We start from the raw sequence: 26,542 nt of genomic DNA on the forward strand, positions 1-26,542 counted from the left end.
CTTTCTTAACATTTCTTTAACTTTGGAAGCCTTTATCCCCAGGAACTTTAACATCTCACAGGCCCTCATAACTGAGGAGCACAGTTATGGAATCAGCTTGTCATTGCCAAGGTGGCCCCTTCTTTCTTCATACAGGGGATAATGAAACCTATGCTGTGTCATATGCAGAGAGCTAAAGCAAAGTGCTAGGAGATTAATGTTCAGCCAGGCCTTTCTTGTTTTTAGGATGACAAAAAGGATTTGTGTACCTTCTCTGGAGAAAATAATTAGGTTTATTCTCCTTCCCCTTGCATGTGTTCTGACTTACCTATCCAGGTGACCAGATGGCCTAGAACTGTCTTAGGTCTTTTAAAAGAATGTGCAAGGGACTAAGCCACTGTTTGTAGTAACTACTGTTTTACAAGAAAAATTTCTAGTGTTTTTAAAATAAGCTTTTAAATAAGCCATTAATTCTGAAATACCAGTGCCACTGTAAACCTATAAACAAATCCAAATGTTCTCTTAATTAAATCAATGTTTATTATATCTCATGAATTTTAACAACAAAGACGTGGGAAGACCACAAAACAATGGACAAACAAAAAATCAGATTGATTAGAGAATTTACATAGGAAGAGTTGAGAGTTTTTTTAAACCCACAGGAAAAAGAATTGTGATCATTTTTAGCAGGCTAGTAACATTCTTATCGATACAGGAAATAAAGAATATTTGGTTTGACTATATGACAAAGTAAAAATTTCTGCTTTGCTTATAATGCAGCCAAATACAAAATCAAACACTGGGTAAACACAGCAAGTAGAACAAACGGTTAATGTTTATATTTTTTGAATAACTCTTGTAATTTAAGAAAACTATCAAACCCAGTTAAATGAGAAAAGGATAAACAGTTCACACATGAGGAAACTGTTGGTCGTCAAAGGAATTCGTTTCCTTTGACTAAGATTTTTTACCCACCTGCCCTCATGCTGTGCCTGGTGTTGGCATTTCAGCGGGAAGACACTCTTTGTCCTGTGGGGAGAGGGAGGCAAGGGACACATTTAAAACAGTTGTCAAGACATCATACATGAGAAGAGAGAATGAAATAATAAGGGAAAAAAATATTAGGAAGGCAGACAGGTAGCAGTTTTTTTGTTTGTTTGTTTGTTTTAAATCAGGAATGTGAGCTGAGTAAGATACTTTGACAACTGTTCTTAAATTTGTTAATAGTATTGGCAAAACACTGCACACTGCAAAGTGGTTCAATTTTATTGATAATTCCTAAAATGACAAACTTTTTTTCTTTAGTTTTGCCTCAGAAATTATCCTAATGAAATAATCCAAAAAGAAAAAAAACAGGACAGAAAAACAGCGCATATATTGAATAGGGCTTGGCAACTAAATAGGAATTTTTAATGTAATGGAGCATGAGTTCATGATTAAAATTATGATAAAAATAGTTGTAACATGAAACACTGTCATGATAGGTGACTGTAGTTGCATTTGTGTTGCTTAATTCATTTCTGTAAAATAAGCCTGTGTACTTCAGTAAGATTATGATATGTTAAAATTTGTTTTGTGTAATACTTACATACTTACTAGAAGAAATGTTGATTCATTTTATTACAAGTGATTTTTTGCCCTTTTTTAGCTGACTACACAGACTTAGTCTTCTCCACTCCGTGTTCCTGCAGCTAGAGACATGACCTAACACCCTGATGACCACTCTCAGGGACCTTGAGTGACTGGCCGGTGCACCATGGAACTTAAAGTATGGGTGGATGGAGTTCAGAGGATTGTTTGTGGAGTCACTGAAGTCACAACTTGCCAGGAGGTTGTCATAGCCTTAGCTCAAGCAATAGGTGAGTGAACTCTGTGGGTATCTGAGAAAAGTACATTGTGCTTTCTTTCGTTGTATGTGTTTGTTTTAAATATAGATTTCTAGGGGATTTTGTTCATTTGGTTCCATAATAAGTCTCACAGGCACTCTTGTACTTATTACAGTTTGCCTGTGTTTAGGTACATCTGTGATGATGCTTGTTCTCTGACACCCCTAGATTTTACTAACCCTGAGTTAACATCTACACTGCCTTCTCCTCTCCTGTTGTTCAGCCTAAACAGTGACTTCTGAAACTAAAGATGTTTCCATGAGCCAAAATTTAGACCCAGATTAAGAATTTAGATTCTTAGTTCCCAGAATCCCTCATTAGGAAAAATCCCACCTATTGTTTATTTCTCCATACTTTCAGAAAATACAACAAATGAAATAACATCGTTCTTCACTGGAAAGATAATGTATACTTTTAAAATCTTATGATTGGCTGGGCATGGTGGCTCACGCCTGTAATCCCAGCACTTTGGGAGGCTGAGGCAGGCAGATCACTTGAGGTCAGGAGTTCGAGACCAGCCTGGCAAACATGGTCAAACCCGTCTTTAATAAAACTACAAAAATTAGCCGGGCGTGGTGGTGCGCACCTGTAATCCCAGCTACTATGGAGGCTGAGGAAGGAGAATGGCTTCAACCCAGGAGACAGAGGTTGCAGTGAGCCAAGATCATGCCACTGCACTACAGCTTGGGTGACAGCGAAACTCGGTCTCAATAAATAAAATAAAATAAAATCTTATTATACAGTGAAAATGAAGCACAGCTCTTGGCTTCATGTTATTCTCCCACCATGTTTTACCCTTTCTTCTTATTTATTTTAAGCTTATCTTCATCATAGTTTATGTATATTTAGTTGCCTTAAATGATGAGGGCATAAACACCTGCATCAGAAAAACCAGCAATATGGGTCCAAGTTTATATTTGCATCTTAAGTCTTTCATTTAACAAACATGTACTAAGAGGAAGCTGTGTGGCCAGCACCATGCTAAGTGTTCAGGGCCTCTTTGTCTTTGAGCTCCTTATCAAAAGTTGATTTTATGTCTCGCCAGTTTATATTGGAAGCATGTCAATTAGCTCAGCATTGAAATGAGTCATACTGTTGCCAAGGCACTTTAGCATTTGGTAGAGATGATTGTGCCACCTGTGATGTGGCAGATGCACTGTTAGAGGTTTACAGTGCCCTATACAAGACAGAGACTTTCTGGTAATATTGACATCTTTTGATTTTTCCTTAAACACTATTGCACAAGAATATATTGCAGCAATGCTGAAAATTCTGGGCTTTCACATCCGGTGAAACTCTTTTTGCATTTGAGAATCTTATATATGTAGACTTAAGTTTAATTATTAAAGAGGAGAAAATTAAGGCATTTAATTTTTTCATATTCTTTCTATGAGCTTATTTAGTAATTGTCACTATTAAGAGCTTCACTTAATTTATGTGAATTAAAATATACAGCTTTTTTTTTCTTAGTGAAGACTACGTTTATTAATTGTCAAACCTGGCTTTCCTTGTTATATTTGGGAATTAAGCCATGGACAGTGCTAAAAAAGAAAAAAAAAAGTAGTTTTTACAAAAGTCAAGGTAGTTGAGTAGTGCTATAAGCTGCATCTGTCCATAATGACACTTTTGTGTGTGTGTGTGTGTGTGTGTGTGAAGTTCCATTTTTTTAAAATTACACTTTAAGTTCTAGGGTACATGTGCACAACATGCAGGTTTGTTACATATGTATATATGTGCCATGTTGGTGTGCTGCACCCATTAAGTCATTTACATTGGATATTTCTCCTAATGCTATCCCTACCCCATCCCCCCGCCCCACAACAGGCCCGGTGTGTGGTGTTCTCCACCCTGTGTCCAAGTGTTCTCATTGTTCAGTTCCCACCTATGAGTGAGAACATGTGGTGTTTGGTTTTCTGTCCTTGTGATAGTTTGCTCAGAATGATGGTTTCCAGCTTCATCCATATCCTTACAAAGGACATGGACTCATCCTTTTTTATGGCTGCATAGTATTCCATGGTGTATATGTGCCACATTTTCTTAATCCAGTCTATCATTGATGGACACTTGGGTTGGTTCCAAGTCTTTGCTATTGTGAATAGTGCTGCAATAAACATACGTGTGCGTGTGTCTTTATAGCAGCGTGATTTATAATCCTTTGGGTATATACGCAATAATGGGATGGCTGGGTCAAATGGTATTTCTAGTTCTAGATCCTTGAGGAATCGCCACACTGTCTTCCACAATGGTTGAACTAGTTTACAGTCCCACCAACAGTGTAAAAATGTTCCTATTTCTCCACGTCCTCTCCAGCATCTGTTGTTTCCTGACTTTTTAATGATCGCCATTCCAACTGGTGTGAGATGGTATCTCATTGTGGTTTTGATTTGCATTTCTCTGATGGACAGTGATGGTGAGCATTTTTTCATGTGTCTGTTGGCTGCATAAATGTCTTCTTTTGAGAAGTGTCTGTTCATATCCTTTGCCCACTTTTATGGGGTTGTTTGCATAATCACACTTTTTACACAGAATTTCAAGGGGAAAATGCCCGGAGGTACCATGTATGTGCTTGCCCACTTGGACTACAGAGTATACTTATTTGTGAACAAGCCAAAAACACATTTTAACTAAATCTGCCCTCCTATTTTTACTTTCTCAATAACTCAATCCAAGAGCTGTTTTGAAAAGTTGACAACTTCAATACAAATGTTTTATGATATTCCTCCAAACTTGGCCAAACAACTCTTTCTGTATCGTAAATACTTCATTGAACTCAGAATTCATCTGGAGATGACTCCACTGGCAAGTAGCCGAGAGCTGTGGATCCTGATTTCTGTGGTGAGAGTTTATTAATTAGAGAAAATTGCTGCTCTGAAAAGCAACCCCAGAACTTCCAAGGCCTAACACAGTAAGTGGCTAGCTAGATTATTAGTAGAGCATGGACTGATGACCAGAACCACAGGTGGCTGTCAAGAATGTATAGTGAAGCAATTTGTAGACTGGTTTCTTAGGTTTAAGTGCGCGTCTTTGCCTCATGGGGGCACTACACACATGCGCACGCGCGCGCGCACACACACACACACACACACACAGAGTGTATTCTTGATTAGGAGTTACAGGTTTTTTTCTGGATAGTTAAAATTATTTTTAGGAAACCATAGAAACTATCAAAATGACTTACTATGAAAATATGCACACAAGTTGTCAACCTGCAAATATATATATGACAGCTAAGGTTTTCTTCATGCTACTAATCAATCAAATTGAATTAGCAAAGAGCTAGAAACAACATAGTTTGATGAAAGATGTTGAATCTATAGGAAGAAATCTTTTCTACACTAATCTGACAATCTTGACAGATTAGATTTAGGTGATGGATGTAGGACACATGCTCAAATGATGACAGAATAACTAAAAGTGAAACCTTAGTTGAAACCTCTTCTTGGCATGAAGTGGTTCAACTGTCCTGCAAGAGTGCACTCGGAGTTTGTCACTGTACACCCTGAACTTTCTGAAACATTCCCAATTTAAATGTTCTACTTTGTTTCCCCTGTAAAATATCTCAGAAATGCATTTTTTTCAGAGTCTAAACTGCTTCTCAAATCTAAGTGAAACAGAAAGCCTTTGACAGATCATCTATCTCAAGTTATAATGGAGAAAATGCATTTGCTTTTATCTCAAACCAAAAATATGACAAGGATGTATTTCTGCCCTCAGGCAGCTTAGAGCTTAACACAGAAATAAAAGTCCAGCTAACAAAAGATGAGAGAGGAAAGAAGGAAGAGAAGGAAATCAAGGAGATTGAGGAAAAGGATTTCTGATCCACGGTACTTTGATACTTGGTGTCATTGAGAAGACAAGGAAAGAAATATGTACTTTGTCATATTTAACTCTTAGCTTCACATGTAAAATATCAATTTCAGAAATTTAAAAATTGATTACTTTTCTACATTTATAAAGTAATATTATTTATTGTAGATTATCTTGAAATTTAGAAAACACAAAGAAGGTAAGAGAATCACTCATGATTCTACTTCCTAGCAATAAACAATGTTTTTTGTGTACCCATAGATGAGCTTTTAAAAAATTATACTCTTCATATGCTTTTTGTAGTTTTGAGTCTCATTGTCTCATTTTTCATTTACTGTATTGTGAATTAATTTTCCACATATTCATTTGCAATTTTAATATTTATAACAATAGTCTAATTTTTTATTTTAATTAGCTTCTGTATTTTCCACATCTGTAGAATATTATTTTAATGAATGTTAATACATGTTAATTCATAGCATGCATCAGTCAAGATGGGTTAGATTATGCTGTGTTAACGAACAGCTCCCAAAATCTTCTGGTTTGTAGTGTTTTCTACTTATTTTGGTTTATATTTTTTTAACGTAACCAGCACAATGCCCAGTAAATCACAGGTACTCTGTAACTGTTTTTTTGAGACGGAGTCTCACTCTGTCACCCAGGCTGTAGTGCAGTGGTGTGATCTCCGCTCACTGCAAGCTCCGCCTCCCAGGTTCACACCATTCTCCTGCCTCAGCCTCCCGAGTAGCTGGGACTACAGGCACCCACCACCACGCCCAGCTAATTTTTGCTATTTTTAGTAGAGACGGGGTTTCACCGTGTTAGCCAGGATGGTCTCGATCTCCTGACCTCGTGATCTGCCCGCCTCGGCCTCCCAAAGTGCTGGGATTACAGATGTGAGCCACCGTGCCTGACCACTATTTTTATTATGTTTAGTAGTAGTGAGCTTATCATATAATTCTAAGTAGACAGTAATTCTGTGATTACATGATATACACTGGGAAGATACACTGTGGATGATGTAACTATGGTTTGAATGCACAACTGGCTGACAGGTATATTCAGAGATAATTTTTTATTGTATCACTGTTATTCTAAGATATACTGTGGGGTAAGAGTTATTTTAGTAGTTTCACTCAGAACTTAAATAGTATAGTAAAAAAATAACTAAATGTCATCAGAAAATTACTTAAAATTCTTTAAGCTTTTATTTCTTCACTGATAAGATGAGGATCGTAATATCTATACTGCTTAACTCACAGAACTAACTAAGATGATATATATAAAAGCATCAAAAGCATTTTACAGGCTATAAGATAATAAAGTGTAAGTTCTGTTACAGAGATCAACGCTTACTGTAAGAATTCTAAGTCATTACGGAAAAAGCTAGTTGTGTTCACTAGAGTTTGCATAAGAGTCCTGGACTGTGTAATGTATTTTACAAAATTTTCATTAAAATATTTATAGCTCAAGAAGCAAAATATCTACTATCAGAAAAATTCAGTGCTGTTGGATAGCTTATCCTCCATAGATAAAGAATAAGTCAGGTGTTACTGACATTATTTCTCATATGTCCAGAAACCTGAAGATATGTTAGCATTAAATTCATAAGAGATTAGTGCCATTTCTTTGTCATGTTCTTTTGAATAATGTCCAATATTCATCTTTGGGGTGTGGAGGATTTGGTACTGAAGAAAATATCAAATGTCAGTTAAAATGAAGACTCCAGAGGGTTGGTGATGAAGATGTTTAGTAGAATCTATTTCTCTAGAGCCTGGCACTGTTTCTGACACATATGTGGTGTTCAATATACATTTGTTAACTAAATAGCAAGATGTAACTTTTAAATCATGATTTTGATTTATGACTGTAAGGAGAAATTTCCTAAAATTATAAAAATTGTTGGAGTATTAAAAAATGGTTGAATTCAGGGCATAAATTTCTGAGTGACCCTTGTTTGAGTTTTGGTGTGTATTTTCAAAATGTTATGTTACTTTATAGTTGTGTATTCTGCTTTCTTAAGTGAAAGTAAGCTGTTATCCTGTTTTCTTTTAATTTATGTCAATCAGTCATTCAATAAGATCTCATTAATGCATTAAAATCTGTATGTAAGTTTCTTCAGTATATAAATTTAATGATTCTTGGGATTAGTCTCAGTTGCTTCAATATTTAAAAGTATAATTAATATTTTTTACCCCACTAAATTGGATCGAAATTATTTGATAGTGTCACACAGTCCTACAATGCAAAAACAGCTTAAACTACAAATGCCATAGATAGACAGACAGACAGATAGATATTCCTTTTTATTCATTTTAAGATTACATCAAAATAGTACAGAAGGTTTAACTGAATGTATCCATGTGGTCAAATACGCTAAAAGGAGTTTTGCAGGAGGAATCAGAATCTGTGTAAATGAAGGAAATAGAATCTGTAGAGTGCTGCCAAGTTATGGATATTAAAAACAGCGATTGTGGAATTTAATTCCTATATAAAATATTTAAAACCCAATTTATATAATAAAATCAAATCTATTAATTCATTTGCCTTTTTTAAAAAAAGCTTTTTTATATTGCTGGATGGAATTTTTTGACCCAGTGGTACTAAATGTGCATTATTTAACAAAAGCCAATACTGGCAGTAAAAGCAATTCTAAATAACCTTCCAAGACATTCTCAGAGGGTAGCAGTACCAGTAAGCACTGGAAAATTAGTTTTATTTTTAATTATGAATAAATTAGGGTCTTTAAAATATTTTGTTTAGTTCATATAATGTGATGATTCGGTTTTCCTTCTAAAGATACTTCATTGGGCTGATAGAATTGGAAAGAACTCTACCGGTTTATCTAACCCCTCCTGTTACCGAAGGAGGACACAGAGGTTCAGAGAAGAGTAAGATTCCTAAAAGCAGTTGATAGGCATAGTGCTATGACCTTTGAAGCAGTTTGTACACATGGGACAGTTTTAACATTGCAGATGTGTCATGTGGTTTTTCTTTGGGAGCAATTAGAGTAATTTTTAACCTGAAAATCATTGGAAACATTTTTTATTTCAAGAAGCTAATCTATTGTGCTAAGGTTTTCTTTTTCATCCCCCTTATTAGCCTGGGCATTTTGATAAATGTAACTAATATTATCTAGCACTTTTCAATTTCACAAACATATTTATATTTTACATTCTCACTTGAGTCTCAGAACCACCTTGTCAGATAAGGCAATACTACTCTTATCCCACAGATGAGGAGACTGAGGCTAAAGGAAATTTAATTGTTCAGATCATGTAGGTAAGCACAGTAGGAGGCAGAGCCACATTTGAACCCAGACCTTTCTACTCCAGAACCTTTGTCCCATCTCTGTCTAGTTTACATAGTTGGAAGTTGCTTTTTAAAAGTCAGATTGTTGGGCAAGGGAGGGGAAAAAATAAATAAATAAATAAAAGATCATTGTGATGACACATCACTATTTAAAGGAATTCTGTGGTCAGCCCTTTTGTTATAGGAAAAATGTCTTACTAGCTACCACGTGTTGAATGCCTGCTGTGGGCCAGGCAGTGTGGTAGGTGCTAACCCTCAGAATCTGCGAAGCGTTTTAGAAGGGAAGTTGTGCTGCTTATCTAGTAAGTAACTCACGTAGGATTGTTTGCCTCCAAAACCCCAACTTCCAGCTATACCCCAAATTCAGGTTTCCCTAAAGGAGAACACACTCATATGCTTATAGCAAAATCATTTTTTAATGTGCTCCTCATGAATTACATACATGGGTGTTGATATTTACACATCTAGATTTCCATTTATTGATGCAGTAATTGCAAAAATACTACTATTGGCTCAGAAGCTCATGAAATTTAAAAAAGAAAGCCAGGAAGGTAAATCAATCAATAGCTGTTTATACAAGTATAATTGCTGGATGGCAGCGTTGGTTTTTTTTCTTTGTAATTATTTATGTACACTTTTCACAAAATTTAAATAATCTATCTGACCCACTCAAATGAAAATATTTAAAAAGCATGTTCAAGCTTATGGCATTACAATCATATTCTTCTGAAACTTTATCTTACTTTCATAATGATTAGATTCAGTATATTTTTCAATGTATATGTGATTGTATTCTGGTGTTTGTTTGTTTTGTTTTTTTTTTGAGACAGAGTCTTACTCTGTCACCCAGGCTGGAGTGCAGTGACACAATACAGCTCACTGCAGCCTTGATCTCCCAGGATCAGGCGATTCTCCTATTTCAGCCTCTCAAGTAGCTAGGACTACGGTGCACAGCACCATTCCCGGCTAACTTTTTCATATTTTATTTGTAGAGACAGGGTTCTGCCATGTTGCCCAGGCTGGTCTCAAACTCCTGGGCTCAAGAAGTCTGCCCACCTTTGCCTCCCAAAATACTGGGATTACAGGTGTGAGCCACTGCACCCAGCCTGCTGGTTTGTTTTTAACAATATTTTGCTTTGAGTTTTTTTTTTTTTTTTAGAAGAAGAATCTCTGATACTATCATATTACCAAAACTGAACAAGTCTTCTCTTCAGGCCCCTCTTTTTATATGAATTTGTTTTGAAGAGTTTTTTTCATTGAGCTGGTTTTTTGTTTGTCATGGGTGTCCAGGAAGATGTCAGCTGTGTGAGCGATGGGTTGGTGGAGCACTCAGGTGGAGATGGAGAGGAGACCTGGGCACCTCCTGTGGCTGAGTCACAGTTCTCCACTGGTCCCCATGTCTCCTTTCAGGAGGAGAAGTGGGGCCTCCAGCCCTCCCAAGTTCTGATGTGGAAAAAAGCCGAGGGATTTCCACAGTGGAAATGTATTTGAGTTTTGAAGTTCCACCTAGTTCCTGGACCAGCCCCTCATGTTTCACATGGCGATTCTGTTGTCCTTTGTTTCAGCTAGAAAATAAACTTTGTTCAGTCTTGCCCCAAATGAGAAGTTCTAGGCAGCCAGGTATTTGGCAAGAGTATAAGAGTCCCACCAAGGTTTAAAGTATAAAGTTGAATTTCTAAGCAAGCCTAAAGAGTATGTGCAATACACATCTTCTGATTTTATGTTGTTACATGTCGTGAGGGGTTTGGTATCTTCAAGTAAAGGTTTTAAAGGAACCTGAACTAGACTCAAACTTGACCCTCTGATGCTAATCGAAAATACACAATCATCAAATGGCATTCTTACTCCATTTTTTAACTATTACATATCCCATTTTGACAAGTTATTCTTACCTTTTTTACATAGGTCGAACTGGAAGGTACACCCTTATAGAGAAATGGAGAGATACTGAAAGACACTTAGCACCTCATGAAAATCCTATCATATCCTTAAACAAATGGGGGCAGTATGCTAGTGATGTGCAGCTCATTCTACGACGAACTGGGCCGTCTCTCAGTGAGCGACCCACTTCAGACAGTGTGGCTCGAATTCCTGAAAGAACTTTATACAGGCAGAGTCTGCCCCCCTTAGCTAAACTGAGGCCTCAGATTGACAAATCAATCAAAAGGAGGGAACCGAAAAGGAAATCACTGACATTTACAGGAGGTGCCAAAGGATTAATGGACATTTTTGGAAAAGGTAAAGAAACTGAGTTTAAGCAAAAGGTGCTGAATAACTGCAAAACAACAGCAGATGAGTTGAAGAAGCTAATCCGTCTGCAGACAGAGAAGCTTCAATCCATTGAGAAACAGCTGGAATCTAATGAAATAGAAATAAGATTTTGGGAGCAAAAGTATAATTCCAACCTTGAAGAGGAAATTGTCCGTCTAGAGCAAAAGATCAAAAGAAACGATGTAGAAATTGAGGAGGAAGAATTCTGGGAAAATGAATTACAGATTGAACAGGAAAATGAAAAACAGCTGAAGGATCAACTTCAAGAAATAAGACAGAAAATAACAGAATGTGAAAACAAATTAAAGGACTATTTGGCACAGATCCGGACTATGGAAAGTGGTCTTGAAGCAGAAAAATTGCAACGGGAAGTTCAAGAGGCACAGGTCAATGAGGAAGAGGTTAAAGGAAAGATCGGTAAGGTCAAAGGGGAGATTGACATTCAAGGCCAGCAGAGTCTGAGGTTGGAAAATGGCATCAAAGCTGTGGAAAGATCTCTTGGACAAGCCACCAAACGCTTACAGGTAGGGACACTTTGATAAATAGAATGTTTGGCCCATGTAAAATAGTATCTTCTTGGAATCTCCTTTTCATCATTGTCAATTTTTCCTTATATTCAAAGAATTAGAAACCCAGCCTTGTTTAAAACTTTTGTCGAACTCTTGTGACTTACGACAGCTTAGATGGGAGCAGTAGCCTTGCGGATCCTTCTCCATGGAAGAGCCTTGTCTTACTGTGACAGTTGTAGCGTTAGATAATGGGATGGAATGGACACTAATGATGAGATAGTGAATCTCACCTTCTCCTTTCAGAGATAGGGAAACTAGAGCTGAAAGAGCTGTCCATGGATTGGTTGGCCAGGGATTGTTGTGGCTAGCTGACTGCTTATCTGTCACTTCTCCATTGTTGCCAGCCAATCCCAGCTTCTTTCCTGACACATAAACAGCCCCCGTCCCTTCTCCCCTCTCCACAGTACCCTCCTTTGCTTTCCTGAGAGAGGCACAAAGATTTCTGTCTGATTTTCCCCCTTTCTAGTTCACATACGAGAAGTTCTATTTTGCCACTTAAACCCTAATCACTCAACTTACATTTCTTGGATACCCATTCTTGAAAAGACCCTGTGATTATGTTGCGGAAGTTGCAAAGATGTATCAAACAGTCTGTATCAGATGGGACGAGAAAGAGACACAATTGATTACAATATGGCTACTTAAATTTAAATTAAGATTAAATAATAAGGCAGTTAAATTATTAAATAATTTAAAATTCTGTTTTTAGTCACACATGGTCACATTTCAAGTGCCCAGTAGCTGCTGTACGGGCCGTGCAGACACAGAACATTTCCACCATTGAAGGAGGTTCTGTTGGACTGTGCTGGTTTAGAGCTTACGATTCAAAGTGTAGTCCATGCCAGGCAGCTCCAGGGTACTACTTGTAAGAAATTCAGAATCTACATTGAAACAGGATGCCCAAGTAATACCTGTGTACAGTGAGGTTTGAGAAGAGCTGCTTTAGAACATCAACAGTTAGTTCCACAATCAGAGAAAGCTGAGGTTTTAGGAAGAACTGATGTGATCTCCTTTCTCCGTCATTATCTGTAGTAAGAGATAAAACTACCACCCAAATTTTGAAAATCAAGAATTTCTCATGCAGTAGAAGCTTGTCAGCCTCTAATTTGTCAGTATTTTACTATTGGGATTCATTTTGACATTTAAAAAAAGGTACAAGTGGAAGTTGTGTTGCTTTTGATATCACAGAAAACACTAACTTATCACAGTCATTACTAGCAAATCCCTCTACCCACTGAAAAGTGTCTGATAATCAAATATTGATATATCCCCAAGTACCCCCTACACTCAAATAAGTGGAGAAAACAACCATTCACTTCTAATCTCTTCCCAACCCCTACCAAATCCTTGGGACCCACCCAGCCTGGGTAGAGCCAGGGTACTTTTTCTTATATACAGTAGAGGAAAGAAAGAAATGAAAAGCTGTTTAAATAATAGGATGCCCCTCCTTGCTTTTACAGCTTTCCAGCTATCCAAACTTGATCTCCTTCTGTAGGACTCTGTAGTTCTCAGATCTTTGTCAAGGATTTAGGAATTCCATAGTGAGAATCTTGTGGGAATCTTGCTTTCCTCATGCTGTAAGATAAATCTCAATAATGTATCCCATGAAAATTGAAACAGCTTACAAAAACAAGAACTCTAAATCCATGGAACAAATTACAATTAACTTTGTAGTTATAAGTTAATATGAAGTGGTTAATATGTAAATTTGTGACCAGCTTAGCAAGATTGCTGCAACACAGAGATGGGTAAAAACCTGTGGGGTTTTTTCTTTTTATTTTCCACCAATGAGTTTACAGACTGAGAAACCCATTTTTGTTTTTGTTTTTTAATGAAAGTTTATAGACATATTTATTTCAGAAGGGTGCATAATGGTTTTCCAGAGGAAAGCATCACATTTAAGAGGACAGACTAATGAAACTGTTGTCTTCCCTTGGCTTATTTCTTGGCCTACACCACAGAGTGAAAGTGACCTCTTTAGCCCATTGTGTCAATATAAACCAGATTTGTTAAATGTGCTTTTATGAAAGCAGATGTTGCACATTTAACCCCTGTAGCAGATGGATCCTCACAAAGATGTCTTGCACTGTCCAGTAGTGAATCCTCAAATTTAAAAAAATAATAATTTCCATCTAGGACAAAGAACAGGAACTGGAGCAGTTGACTAAGGAGTTGCGGCAAGTCAATCTCCAGCAGTTCATCCAGCAGACAGGGACAAAAGTTACCGTTTTGCCAGCGGAGCCCATTGAAATAGAGGCCTCACATGCAGACATTGAAAGGGGTAAGATGTTGATAAATATGGTTTATTTTCCCTTTATTCTCACTGCTTAACTTTTTTTGTTTTTGTTTTTTGAGATAGTATCACTGTATCGCCCAGGCTGGAATGCCAGGGGTATTACCACGGCTTACTGCAGCCTCGACCTCCTGGGCTCAGGTGACCCTCCTACCTCAGCCTCCTGTAGCCGGGGCTACAGGTGCATGCCACCATACCTGGCTGATTTTCTTTTTTTGTATTTCTTGTAGAGATGAGGTTTCATCATATTGCCCAGACTAGTCTCAAACTCCTGAGCTCAAGTGATATGCCTGCCTCAGCTTCCCAAAGTGCTGGGATGACAGGCATGAACCAGCATGCCCGACCATCTGCTTAACTTTGAATAAACTACTTGTATTCAGTTAAAATATTACCCTAACATTCATAGCTAATTTTTAAGTGGGACACTTAAAAATTCTTTTTTTAAAAAAATATTTCCCATTTCTAGAGGAAAACCAGTAACATTTAGGTTATTTATTTACTTAGGTGAGCATGTAATCACCAAATGTCATATCATTAGTTTGAAACTACTTCTTTATTAAAACTTTTTTCTGAAGTATATATGAGTTATAGTCTATTAATTTGAATTTTGGCTTCTCTGTTCCTTATGCCCCCCTTTTCCTTCTTTTTCTTCTAAAAGTTATTATTAATTTGTGCTGATATTTAAAAGACAATTCCAAATCTGTGTATGCATATGGTGTGAACAACCAAAAAAAGAAGCAGAATATTCACCTTTTGTAAAGATCATTCACTGTTCAAATCAACAAAAACTAGTTTATCAAAGAGACCTGAGAAGGTTTTAGCCTTCTCCCCCAGCCCAGGGCACACAGGGGATTGCAATTATTGCTCTATGCAGTTTTCCCTTTTGGGGTAGGAAGCAGTCTGATTTTTTATATTGCTAAGTACTCCAAGTTGACGAGCTCATCAGGTGGCTCTCTTTGTTTCCTGTTTAGAGGCACCATTCCAGTCTGGGTCCCTGAAGCGACCTGGTTCATCTCGGCAGCTCCCCAGTAATCTCCGCATTCTGCAGAATCCTATCTCATCTGGTTTTAATCCTGAAGGCATATATGTATGACATTATCTGTCTTTAGGGAGGAGACCCAACAGAGGTACCAAGGACAGTAAACTTCCTTTTTGATTTGTGCCAATGATGAACAGAGGATCTATTCCACAAGACGCTGTATGTTTTTTCTCTCCTAAATTGCATACCACTTGGAGCCATACCCTGTGCACTGATGCTAAAGAACAAAGAAACTGTGTTTTCACACATCAACAGTGTTGATATTTTTGTCCAGCAGCTATAATGCAAAGCCTTCGTTTTTATTTGTAGCATTTTGAGAGCTTTAGGAAAGTATTATATAGTGTGTATACATAAATAAGCCGTGACTTAAGTAAGAGTGAAGAGAAATTTGTGACTGGCTTAGTTTAATTTATTTCATGTAATCAATGTGTGAATGTTGATGTTTTAATATTTTTATTGACTTATCCTGTGACTGACTTACGTTACATATTGTGTGATTATGACCGTGTGCATGTTGCCAGACTCCATCCATGCATTGCTGATTTACACTACACAAGTGTCCTAGGGTGCTCCACCATCGAAGCTAACTCCACAGGAAGCCACTTGCATTTGTTTTGTGAAACTGTCCTAGCCATTGCTTAATTAGGTGAAATAATTCAGGGTTTTTTAAATCTGGAATTTAGTCGTTCCTTTACAATATTTCCAAATATACGTGTGGCCACAGAGCATAACAGATATTTTTCATAAGCTAAATTGTATGTATAAAACATTTGCAGTGTTTCAGACACTGTTGAACAAAAATGTAATTGGTAAGTATGTATCCAAACAGGCATGGGGTTTCCTGATACATTATGTGTTTTGTTTCTGCCCTGTCTTATCATTTACACTCATGGATCTTCAGAATTAATCTAACATGGAAGTTATAGATACCTGAAAGCTGGGTTGGTCTACTTCAGGAACATTGCTTTAAGTGATGTATTTTAAAATAACCCGCTTCATATGTATGATCTGTTGGTGTACACACCATGGGTAAGGTATTGCTTGCACATAATTTGCTCTGCATATTATGGACCATTGTGGTTTCTTCCAGTCACTTAGATGGAAAGGAGGTTAAACCTAGGTACTTTTTAGCAAGGATATAAAGTCAAATTCAGCATATGTTTTTATTTTTAGGCTTGACTTTTACAAGACATTAATCTCCATTTGTACATATGTTATTTTATTTGTAAAACCAAATATGACTCAACACCTTTTTGATGAGTAGTGACTTAACTAAGATTTACAAGTAATATTTAGACAGATTCAGTCAGACACCACTTAGCCATTTTTACATTCCCTCTGGTTAGATTTGGTACAGTATAATTAAGACTTTAATCTGAAATTTAAAGTAGTTTTAATTCTGAAGAAGTTACATCCTCTGTATTATTTACATGCAACAAAATAAAAGTGGATTAATATAGTAATGCCATGGTAACAATAGAGCTATGTCTTATGCATGAAGGCAACTTTGGATGTTTTAACACATTTGACTGACTTTGGTTTAGTGAATGCTGACAATGCTGCTCTACTTAGGTTTCCTATGAAATTTTTAAGAATGGCTATGAGACTGTATAGAAGCTTCTAGAGAACTGAAAGTCATAATGCAGAGTTGCCTTTTCTAGTGCAGCTAAGTGGCGGACCTCAACTGAAGATATGAGTTTCTTTGGGTTCTTGGAGTTATCAAATTGATCTTGCCATTATGTTACTTTGCAAATAACTGAAGTAAATGATTCTTACCTAAATAACCACAACCTGTACACATTTGCTCACAATTTATAGTAGTTATTTTCTATCTACCTATATTTAAAATTAGGATGATTAAAAAATAATTTATAGATTTTGTGACAGTAATGATTTACATATGCCCAATATATGCCTTATTTTTAAATAAGTCATTCTGTATAAAGTCATTTTGTTGTTGTTCAGAGAAATCAAGATCTTATTCACAAAGAAAAACATTTTATAAATTGATCGCATTTTCTTTAAGTCAAAATGTTAAACTGGAGGCAGTATTAAACTTTGCAATTAGGAGTTTCAGAGATGCCTTGGCATACCACGAAAAACACTGTCAATATCCAACTCATTATAAATTGTTATCAGAATTAACCTAATAACTTTAAGTAAGGACAAGCAGCATCCTAGCAACTTGTAGTAGTCTTGGGTTCCCAGCAGAGTATCACAGTTAACCTCTCTGACAACTTCATCAGAATTTCCAAGCTGCCAAATAATCTTCATAGACCTAATTACAGATTTAAAAAAATTTCCTAGGCGACGAAAGTATAGAAATGTGAATATGTTGAATACATTGAGAAGCTGTACTTTTTAATTAGTTATATTACTTCTGGAAGCACATATCTAAGGAATATTTTCTAAGACTCAGAGGGAAAAAAACTCGTTTTCATAGGATCATCTGAAGATACTTTAGTATATTTGTGATCATTTTTATCTATTGCAAATACAAATGAATTAGATAAGTGCCACATCCTGGATACATTTCGGAGGGGTAGTGGGCAATGGTATACAAAAATACCAAATATAAAATTTTCATCTGGGGGAATGTTCAGGTTCTAAATACTAAATTAGATTTCAATGTTTTGTGTTTTTTTTAAAAAAATCATATTGCAACTTGTTTTATTGTGATTTTCTACAAGTATTAAATACATTTAAAGATCTTTTTATCTTACCAAGAAATAATTTGGAATAGCATTGGTATATTTGACCTTTTGAGTGTCTGTCATCCTCAGAGAATGGCCCATAGTGTGTTGCCTGTGGACATAGTGTCCATAGTCCCTTTCTTGTCCTTCTGAGATATTTTGGTTTGATAACATTTTGTTTTTTGTCTTGATGCACAGGGACTTTTTTATAATATGAGACTTCAGTTGGTATTAATAGGAGTTACCTATTTAATTCTCCCAGTCATCAATGAGGTAATCATCAATTCCTATAGTTCAAATTAGTCATAAACAAGAGCTACAGCAAGACTGATAGAGTAAAAACTATATAAATACAGTAAAAAAAAAATAGAATTTATGGTGTGAAATATGAAGTATAGCAATATATAACAAGAACATGTAAGCACTTGCTTCCACAGCATAAATGTAATTTACATCTGCATTAAAGGATAATTTTCTCTGTGAATAAGAGCAAAATGGTCTTCAGAGAAACAGACTGTTCATTTGAAGCCATTTCTGTAAACATCTTCCAAGATAGAACTGTAATGGATTGAGGAAATAACACAGAAAAGACAAAAACTTTTGATTTCAGGCATGCAAAGTGCTTGGGCAGATGGACAGTTCCCATTGTGCATTGCCTTTGATAAATTTGGCCTTAATTTATATAACGATGCTGTGTTCACATCCCTCTCCTACCTAAAGTTGTCTTTATTGGTTTATATTGTGTTAAAATTAGCTTATAATTATTACTTTTGTATTGTGTTCAGTTTTTTAAGTTGCATGTTTATACTATTTGCTACAGTATTTTTAAGTTTGGGGTGAAGGCCATCAGCTGTATCAAAAAGACAAAACAATCACTATTTATTCAGTATTGCTGCTTTACATCTCCAGAATAAGCTTTCGATGCCAGGACAGTGACTGCCTGAAAGCTGCAGGAGCTCTTTTCAATGCATTTTATATATTTTTAGAAACCAAATAAATGCAGAAAACTATTTCGTATACTAATTATATTAAACCAGCAGAAATATAAAGGCAATAAAGTATATACATATATATGGGGGGAGGGGAAAGATTAAAAAATAGATTTACAGCCAGACATGGTGATAGCCCTAAATGTATTTCTCAATATGTTTTTCTTTATTGACCCTAGGAGGATTTGAGTTGCTGCAGCTTTAAACAGAAAATTGCCATGTTCACTAATTGTGAGCACATAAATATGCTTTTAGTACTGCTTTGCTTATGTACAAATAAATCTGTAATATGTATTATATGTAATTATCCTTTTCTTTGACTTTCATTTTAAATGTATATTTTCTGATCATTATGAGCTGTAAAACAAAGAATCAATATTGGATATTCTCCCAAATAATAAATTTTCAGGATTCATTGGGGCATTACAGTTGTCAGTTTGTTTCTTACATCCTTTATATTTTTAAATACAATTTTACTTCCTTTAAAAGATACCAAAGAGAATAGTGGCACATATCACTACACATAATTACATTTTTCATATATACTTAAAGAATCATCTACTGCTCCAAAGATGGCTTCATCAAAGTAAAACTGAATTAAGAAACTACTATGCCTTTTATTTCAAAAGTGAAAGAAGAAATGATATCTTAATGAATCTCTGTATTCCCAGATTTCCCTAAAACCATAAGTGAGAGGAAGAGAACTAACATTTCAGTCCCTACTACGTGCCAAGTGCAATATGGGGCACCGGTCACACTTTAAACATTCACAGCCATCCAAGGAACTGCTCCTAAATCACACAACCCCTAAGTAACTGACATAGCATTTGAACTTAGATGTTTCAGACCTCAAGGCACTTTTCTGTATTCCATGGTAGAGATGCATGAGCTTTACGGTGCCCAGTTTCTGCATTTTAACCACTTTTTAATGTGGAAGTATATAAATTGTCATTTTTATAGGAATATTTTTATAAGAAGTTAAACCTTTACTTAGAAATTATACATGAGGGCCGGGCGCAGTGGCTCACGCCTATAATCCCAGCACTTTGGGAGGCCAAGGTGGGCAGATGACTTGAGGTCAGGAGTTCGAGACCAGCCTGGCCAACGTGGCGAAACCCCGTCTGTACGAAAAGTAAAAACAAAATAGCTGGGCGTGGTGGCGGGCACCTGTAGTCCCAGCTACTCAGGAGGCTGAGGTGGGAGAACCACTTGAACCCGGGAGGCGGAGGTTGGAGTGAGCCGAGATCGCACCACTGCATTCCAGCCTGAACAACAAAAGCGAGACTCTCTCTCTCTCTCTATACACACACACACACACACACACACACACATATATATATACACATTATGTATACACACACATATATATACACATACACACACACACACACACACACACACACATATATATATATTTAGCCAAAGTAGTATTTATTGAGCCAAAGTAAATTTCCTAGTAATTTCAACTTTCTTTAGGGCCACATAGAAGAAACAATTTCCCATCTATATATATAGAGAGAGAGAGAGAGTCTCACTCTAAAAAAAAAGTATATATATGAGAATAATAGTACGTTATAAAAGCAAAGATGAAATGAGAAACTTAAAGTCATTCAAAATACCAATAAGTCCTAGTTTGGGGGACTTTTAAAATGTTAATTATCCACCCTGTCCTCTAAAATCATGTTTTGTTAATGGCAGAGCAAGAAACAGGAACTACTGTTAACTCTTCACCCACTACCCTCTCCACATACGTGTGCTGTGTCTATTAGGAAAGACCAGTGGAGTCCTATAAAATGGGCATAAATATGCTGGATGCGTTTATACTTTCTACAGACATTTAGTGAGCCCCTGTTTTTGTCCGGACACTGGAGTGAGATGCATATATTTGTTCTCTACCTTCAGGAGGTTTTTTTTGAGGTGGAGTCTCCCATTGTCGCCCAGGCTGGACGGCAATGGCCTGATCTCGGCTCACTGCAACCTCCCCTTCCTGGGTTCAAGCAATTCTCCTGCCTCAGCCTCCTGAGTAGCTGGGATTACAGGCGTCCGCCACCATGCCCAGCCAAATTTTTTTTTTTTTTAGTAGAGACGGGCTTTCACTATGTTGACCAGGCTGGTCTTGAACTCCTGACCTCGTGTTCCACCCGCCTCGTCCTCCCAAAATGCTGGGATTACAGCAGTGAGCCACTGCACCTGGCCGGTTTACAGTCTTGATGATAGAGATGACAACTTCAGTACAACATGTTAAGAACCACTAGAGGGGCAAGGATAGGGTGTCACGGAGACAAACACATTAGGAGATACTTACCCCAACCCAGTGTGTTGGAAGATCCTGGAAGGTGATATAAACAAGAAGGGCTGTCTGGTGGAGCTGTAGCCAGACAGTGAAGAGCCCGGGAGGTCCAAGAGAGATGGGAAGTAGGCATCTGATCATGAGGGGCCTTGGTTGCCATGGTAAGGAGTTTGGACTTTATCCTGACAGGCACAAGCAAATTTTAAGCGTGGAAATTAAATGATTAGCATGTTAGGAAGATAATTCTGACTGGATATGTGAAGAACTGACTAAAGAAGGGTCAAGACTAGAGGCCAGAAAGACTACTTAAGAGGCCTGTAGGAGTCCAGGCCAGAGGTGATGGTAACTCAAACTAAGAAAGCAGTTTGTGCACGTAACAAATTTTTATTGGGCACCTTCTCTGAGCCAGGAAATGAACCAAACAAGTTATAGATATTCTAAGTAGACAATAAGAATCAAAGATACTCCAGGTGTTTACCACTTACCCACAGCCTTAAAGGGTGGTGGAAATGATGGCTGTGGGTCTCTCAGTGAGTAGTCACAGATAATCTGTTCTTTGTGCTGTTGGGCAAGGGGTTGGCACAGGAGCAAGGAAAAAGAATAAAAACATGGAGAATAGAATATGTATTCAAGAGGTGGGCCTTCAAATGGGCTTCCTTTTTATAGAGTGTTTTTGCAGTGTTCCCTGTGAGAATGACATGGATTTGGAAGAAGTGCTCTTCTCTGCACCAAATTTAGCCATCCACAAGTCTCATCATCCAGTATGTTGGAATCCTGTTTTCCCAGCGTTATACTTGACTGCATGTTCTATATCCACCACTCTCTTTTATCTGCCATGTGTTTGTGTCCAAGGTGATAGAGGGTCTGACATGGTCCAGAATGAAAGAAGTGAAGAAGGTGGACAGTACAAATTCCGTGTACACAAAGTCAATATTTACAAGTCTCCTGCAATGCTGGAAGTGTGAAGATCAAATAAACAAATTGAAATACTTAGTAACAAAATATTTTTAGGCATAAAGCAAATCATAGGCACTTTAAACAAGAAACAATCAGCAACAGTCACCACACAAAGGGAGGCTGGGGAGACAGGGAGGAGTGCGGCATGTACACCAGGAACAACTCACTCAGGCAAGGGAGGGGCTCACCAGAGAAGCCACTGTGACAGTCATTGGGCACAGCCACAAACTGCTCCTACATCACCCCACCAACGCCAGCCTACATCTGAATCCTTTGAGGGCCACACCATCCCAGCCCATCTCGACAAGCTAAAAAGGTCTTTTTATTGAGGCAAAGTAGATTACCTTGTAATTTCAACATTCTTTAAGGCCACATAGAAGAAACAATTTCCCATCAATATGACAGCACTTCAGGTATTTGGGGGGCATCTATGATGCCCCCTAGTCTTCTCTTTCCCAGGCTACATATTCCCGATTCTTGCAAATAGTGCAGTCTTCAGTCTCCTCTCTCCTGAACACACTCTACACCAATCGTGACTGTGACTGCCAGGACTGATCACAAAAATCTTTTTTTTTTTTTAATTATACTTTACTTTAAGTTCTAGGGTACATGTGCACAACGTGCAGGTTTGTTACATAGGTATACATGTGCCCTGTTAGTTTGCTGCACCCATTAACTCGTCATTTACATTGGGCATTTCTCCTAATGCTATCCCTCCCCCAGCTCCCCACCCTATCACAGGCCCCAGTGTGTGATGTTCCCCACCCTGTGTCCAAGTATTCTCATTGTTCAGTTCCCACCTATGAGTGAGAACATGTGGTGTTTGGTTTTCTGTCCTTGTGATAGTTTGCTCAGAATGATGGTTTCCAGCTTCATCCATGTCCCTGCAAAGGACATCAACTCATCCTTTTTTTATGGCTGCATAGTATTCCATGGTGTATATGTGCCACATTTTCTTAATTGTCTATCATTGATGGACATTTGGGTTGGTTCCAAGTCTTTGCTATTGTGAATAGTGCCACAATAAACATACAAGTGCATGTGTCTTTATAGTAGCATGATTTATAATCCTTTGGGTATATACCCAGTAATGGGATTGCTGGGTCAGATGGTATTTCTAGTTCTAGATCCTTAAGGAATCGCCACACTGTCTTCCACAATGGTCGAACTAGTTTACACTCCCACCAACAGTGTAAAAGTGTTCCTATTTCTCCACATCCTCTCCAGCATCTGTTGTTTCCTGACTTTTTAATGATTGCCATTCTAACTGGTGTGAGATGGTATCTCATTGTGGTTTTGATTTGCATTTCTCTGATGACCAGTGATGATGAACATTTTTTCATGTGTCTGTTGGCTGCATAAATGTCTTCTTTTGAGAAGTGTCTGCTCATATCCTTTGCCCACTTTTTGATGGGGTTGCTTTTTTCTTGTAAATTTGTTTGAGTTCTTTGTAGATTCTGGATATTAGCCCTTTGTCAGATGGGTAGATTGCAAAAATTTTCTCCCATTCTGAAGGTTGCCTGTTCACTCTGATAGTAGTTTCTTTCGCTGTGCAGAAGCTCTTTAGTTTAATTAGATCTCATTTGTCTATTTTGGCTTTTGTTGCCATTGCTTTTGGTATTTTAGTCATGAACTCCTTGCCCATGCCTAGGTCCTCAATAGTATTGCCTGGGTTTTCTACTAGGGTTTTTATGGTTTTTAGGTCTAACACTTAAGTCCTTAATCCATCTTGAATTAATTTTTGTGTAAGGTGTAAGGAAGGGATCCAGTTTCAGCTTTCTACATATGGCTAGCCAGTTTTCCCAGCACCATTTATTAAATAGGGAATCCTTTCCCCATTTCTTTTTTTTGTCAGGTTTGTCAAAGATCAGATGGTTGTAGATGTGTGGTGTTATTTCTGAGGCCTCTGTTCTGTTCCATTGGTCTATATCTCTGATTTGGTACCAGTACCATGCTATTTTGGTTACTGTAGACTTGTAGTATAGTTTGAAAACTCTCTTTAAATTAGGAACCTGGCTCATTGTTAGGAGTCAGGCTAAAGCTAAACTGGTTTGGTTGGCTGGTTTTTTTGGAACTTCATCTTACTGAATCATTGAACTGACAGTTCATTAAAATCCAGTTTTTCACATTTTTCTACTGGGAAATCTTCCATAACTTGTATGTATGTAATTGAGTTTCAGAGTGCATATGCAGGATCATACTTTGTTAAAATACTTATCTCTAAAACCTCTGAAATAATAAAGAGGGAAGATGTGGGCTTTAATGTCAGGTCAAAATCGAGGTTAATTTTGTTGAAGGCAGAGTTCTACAGAAGCATAAGCAGGTGATAACTGAGTAAATCCGGGAAGACTCTGATGAGGAGGTGAATTAGGCTTTTGAAGAGTAAACAAGTTTTCACTGAGTCATATTTATTGAATGCCTACTGTGTAGTAGACACTGGAGATATAGCAGTGAATCACAAAAACCAAATCCCTGCCCATGTGGAATTCATACCTTAAAGAGGAAGACAGATGTTGAACAAAGAAGCAAAAAATTAGTATCTTCAATTGTGATTAGAATTAATGAGAAAAATAAAAGCAGCAAAGAGGGATAGGAAGTGCTTGTGATTTTATACAGTGGCTTGAGAAGTCCTCTCTTAAAAGATGGCCTTGGAGTAAAGGTGAAGGAAGTGTGGGCAGGCCATGCAGAAATGAAAAGGAGTAATCTGGGCCACATAACCCACATCAGGCTTCAGTGAGAGAGGTCTGAGAAGCCTGGGAGGCCTCTGGAGTCCAGCTTTCTGTTTGTAAGCAACAGATTTGGAATATATAGGCCTTTTCCTGGCTGTGAGCCAGTAACCCCTTCCAAGTACTCACTTGATCATTCTCAGATCTAATATAATGCAGGAAGAAGATATTTTAAATATAAACACATGTTTAAAATCTGAATTGAATTACCCTTAATTCTTCCCAAATTAAAATTAAATTCACAGGTAAGATGTCCTTCTATGAATAGACACAAACTTGGTTTAGTCTATTTCCCAAAATAGTAGTAAGGAATAACCATTGGATTTAATGGTGCCTTCTTTTGCTACATATCCTCCTCCAAATATAATACAGCTTTATAACCTAAAGATATGTATTTTTAAAATTCAGGACATTAAACAAAAATAATTCATTGTCAAGTACTCTTGTAAACTTAAATGAATATTTCTAGAAGGTTCTCAAAAAAAAAGGCGCTAACCGAAAAGACAAAGACCCAAACTAAAGCTAGTAATTGAGATCATGATTATGTATACAAAAACAAATTCACCAACCTTAACTCTTTTTTGTTGTTGTGTGTTTCTTCTGTTTTATCTAGGGATCATCATTCTTTCTGATAAGCAGGAGTGTAAAGATTAGATATCACACCAAAAGCTCAGGCAAGAAAAGCAAAAATGAACAAGTGGGACTACATTAAACCCAAAACTCCTGCACAACAAAGGAAACGATCACCAAAATGAAAAGGTGGACTGTAGATTGGGAGAAAATATTTGCAAACCGTTATCTGGTAAGGGTTTAATATCCAAACTATATAAGGAACTCACAGAACTTAAAGAAAACAAATAATCCAATTAAAAATGGTCAAAGGGGCTGGGCATGGTGGCTCACGCCTGTAATCTCAGCACTTTGGGAGGCCGAGGTGGGAGAATCACAAGGTCAGGAGACTGAGACCATCCTGGCTAACACCATGATGGGCTAACACCCATCTCTACTAAAAATATGAAACATTAGCCAGGTGTGGTGGCACGCGCCTGTAATCCCAGCTACTCGGGAGGCTGAGGCAGAAGGATTGTTTGAACCCGGGAGGTGGAGGTTGCAGTGAGCCGAGATCGCATTACTGCACTCCAGCCTGGGTAACAGAGTGAGACTCCATCTCAAAAAAAAAAAAAATAGATATTTTTCCAAAGAAGACATAAAAACAGCCAACAGGTATATGAAAAAGTGCTCAACATCACTGATCAGCAGGGAAATGCAAATCAAAGCCACAATGAGATACCACCTCACACCTGTTAGGTTACATCTGCTATTGTCAAAAAGATAAGAGATAGCAAGTGTCAGCAAGGGTCTGGAGAAAAGGGAATTTTTGTATACTGTTGGTGGGAATGTAAATCAGTACAGCTATTGTGGAAAACAGTGTAGAGGTTTCTCAAAAAATTAAAACTATCATACAACCCAGCAGTCCCTGTGCTGAATAGATACCCAAAGGAAATGGAATCAACATCTTGTAGAGATATCTGCACTCCATGTTCATTGAAGAATTATTCACAATAGCCAAGATTCAACCTCAGTGACCATTAATGGATGGATGAATAAAGAAATTGTATATGTATATATATAATATTATATATATATATACACACACACACACATACACATATATACACATTATTCAGCCTTAAAAAAGGAGATACTGCCATTTGTGACAACATGGATAAC

The 26,542-nt window shown here is 37.3% G+C and overlaps 1 protein-coding gene across 23 annotated transcripts in view; it reads left to right on the plus strand.

The window, feature by feature from the left end:
• Positions 1-26,281, plus strand: part of RASSF8 (Ras association domain family member 8) — a 121,658-nt gene extending 95,377 nt beyond the window's left edge. For 11 of the 23 annotated variants that reach the window (NM_001394094.1, XM_047428189.1, XM_047428188.1 and 8 more), the window contains 4 exons: positions 1,628-1,838; positions 10,890-11,779; positions 13,961-14,105; positions 15,089-19,261. In NM_001394094.1, the coding sequence (NP_001381023.1) occupies positions 1,736-1,838; positions 10,890-11,779; positions 13,961-14,105; positions 15,089-15,210 (1,260 nt within the window). In that variant the 5' untranslated portion in view covers positions 1,628-1,735 and the 3' untranslated portion in view covers positions 15,211-19,261. Of the gene's footprint in view, positions 1-1,627; positions 1,839-10,889; positions 11,780-13,960; positions 14,106-15,088; positions 19,262-25,424 lie in introns of those variants that run through there. The other 12 variants (NM_001394096.1, NM_001394095.1, NM_001394097.1 and 9 more) reach the window with 2 other exon arrangements.

Source organism: Homo sapiens, chromosome 12, assembly GCF_000001405.40.
Source record: "Homo sapiens chromosome 12, GRCh38.p14 Primary Assembly".
NCBI classification, from domain to species: Eukaryota; Metazoa; Chordata; class Mammalia; order Primates; family Hominidae; genus Homo; species Homo sapiens.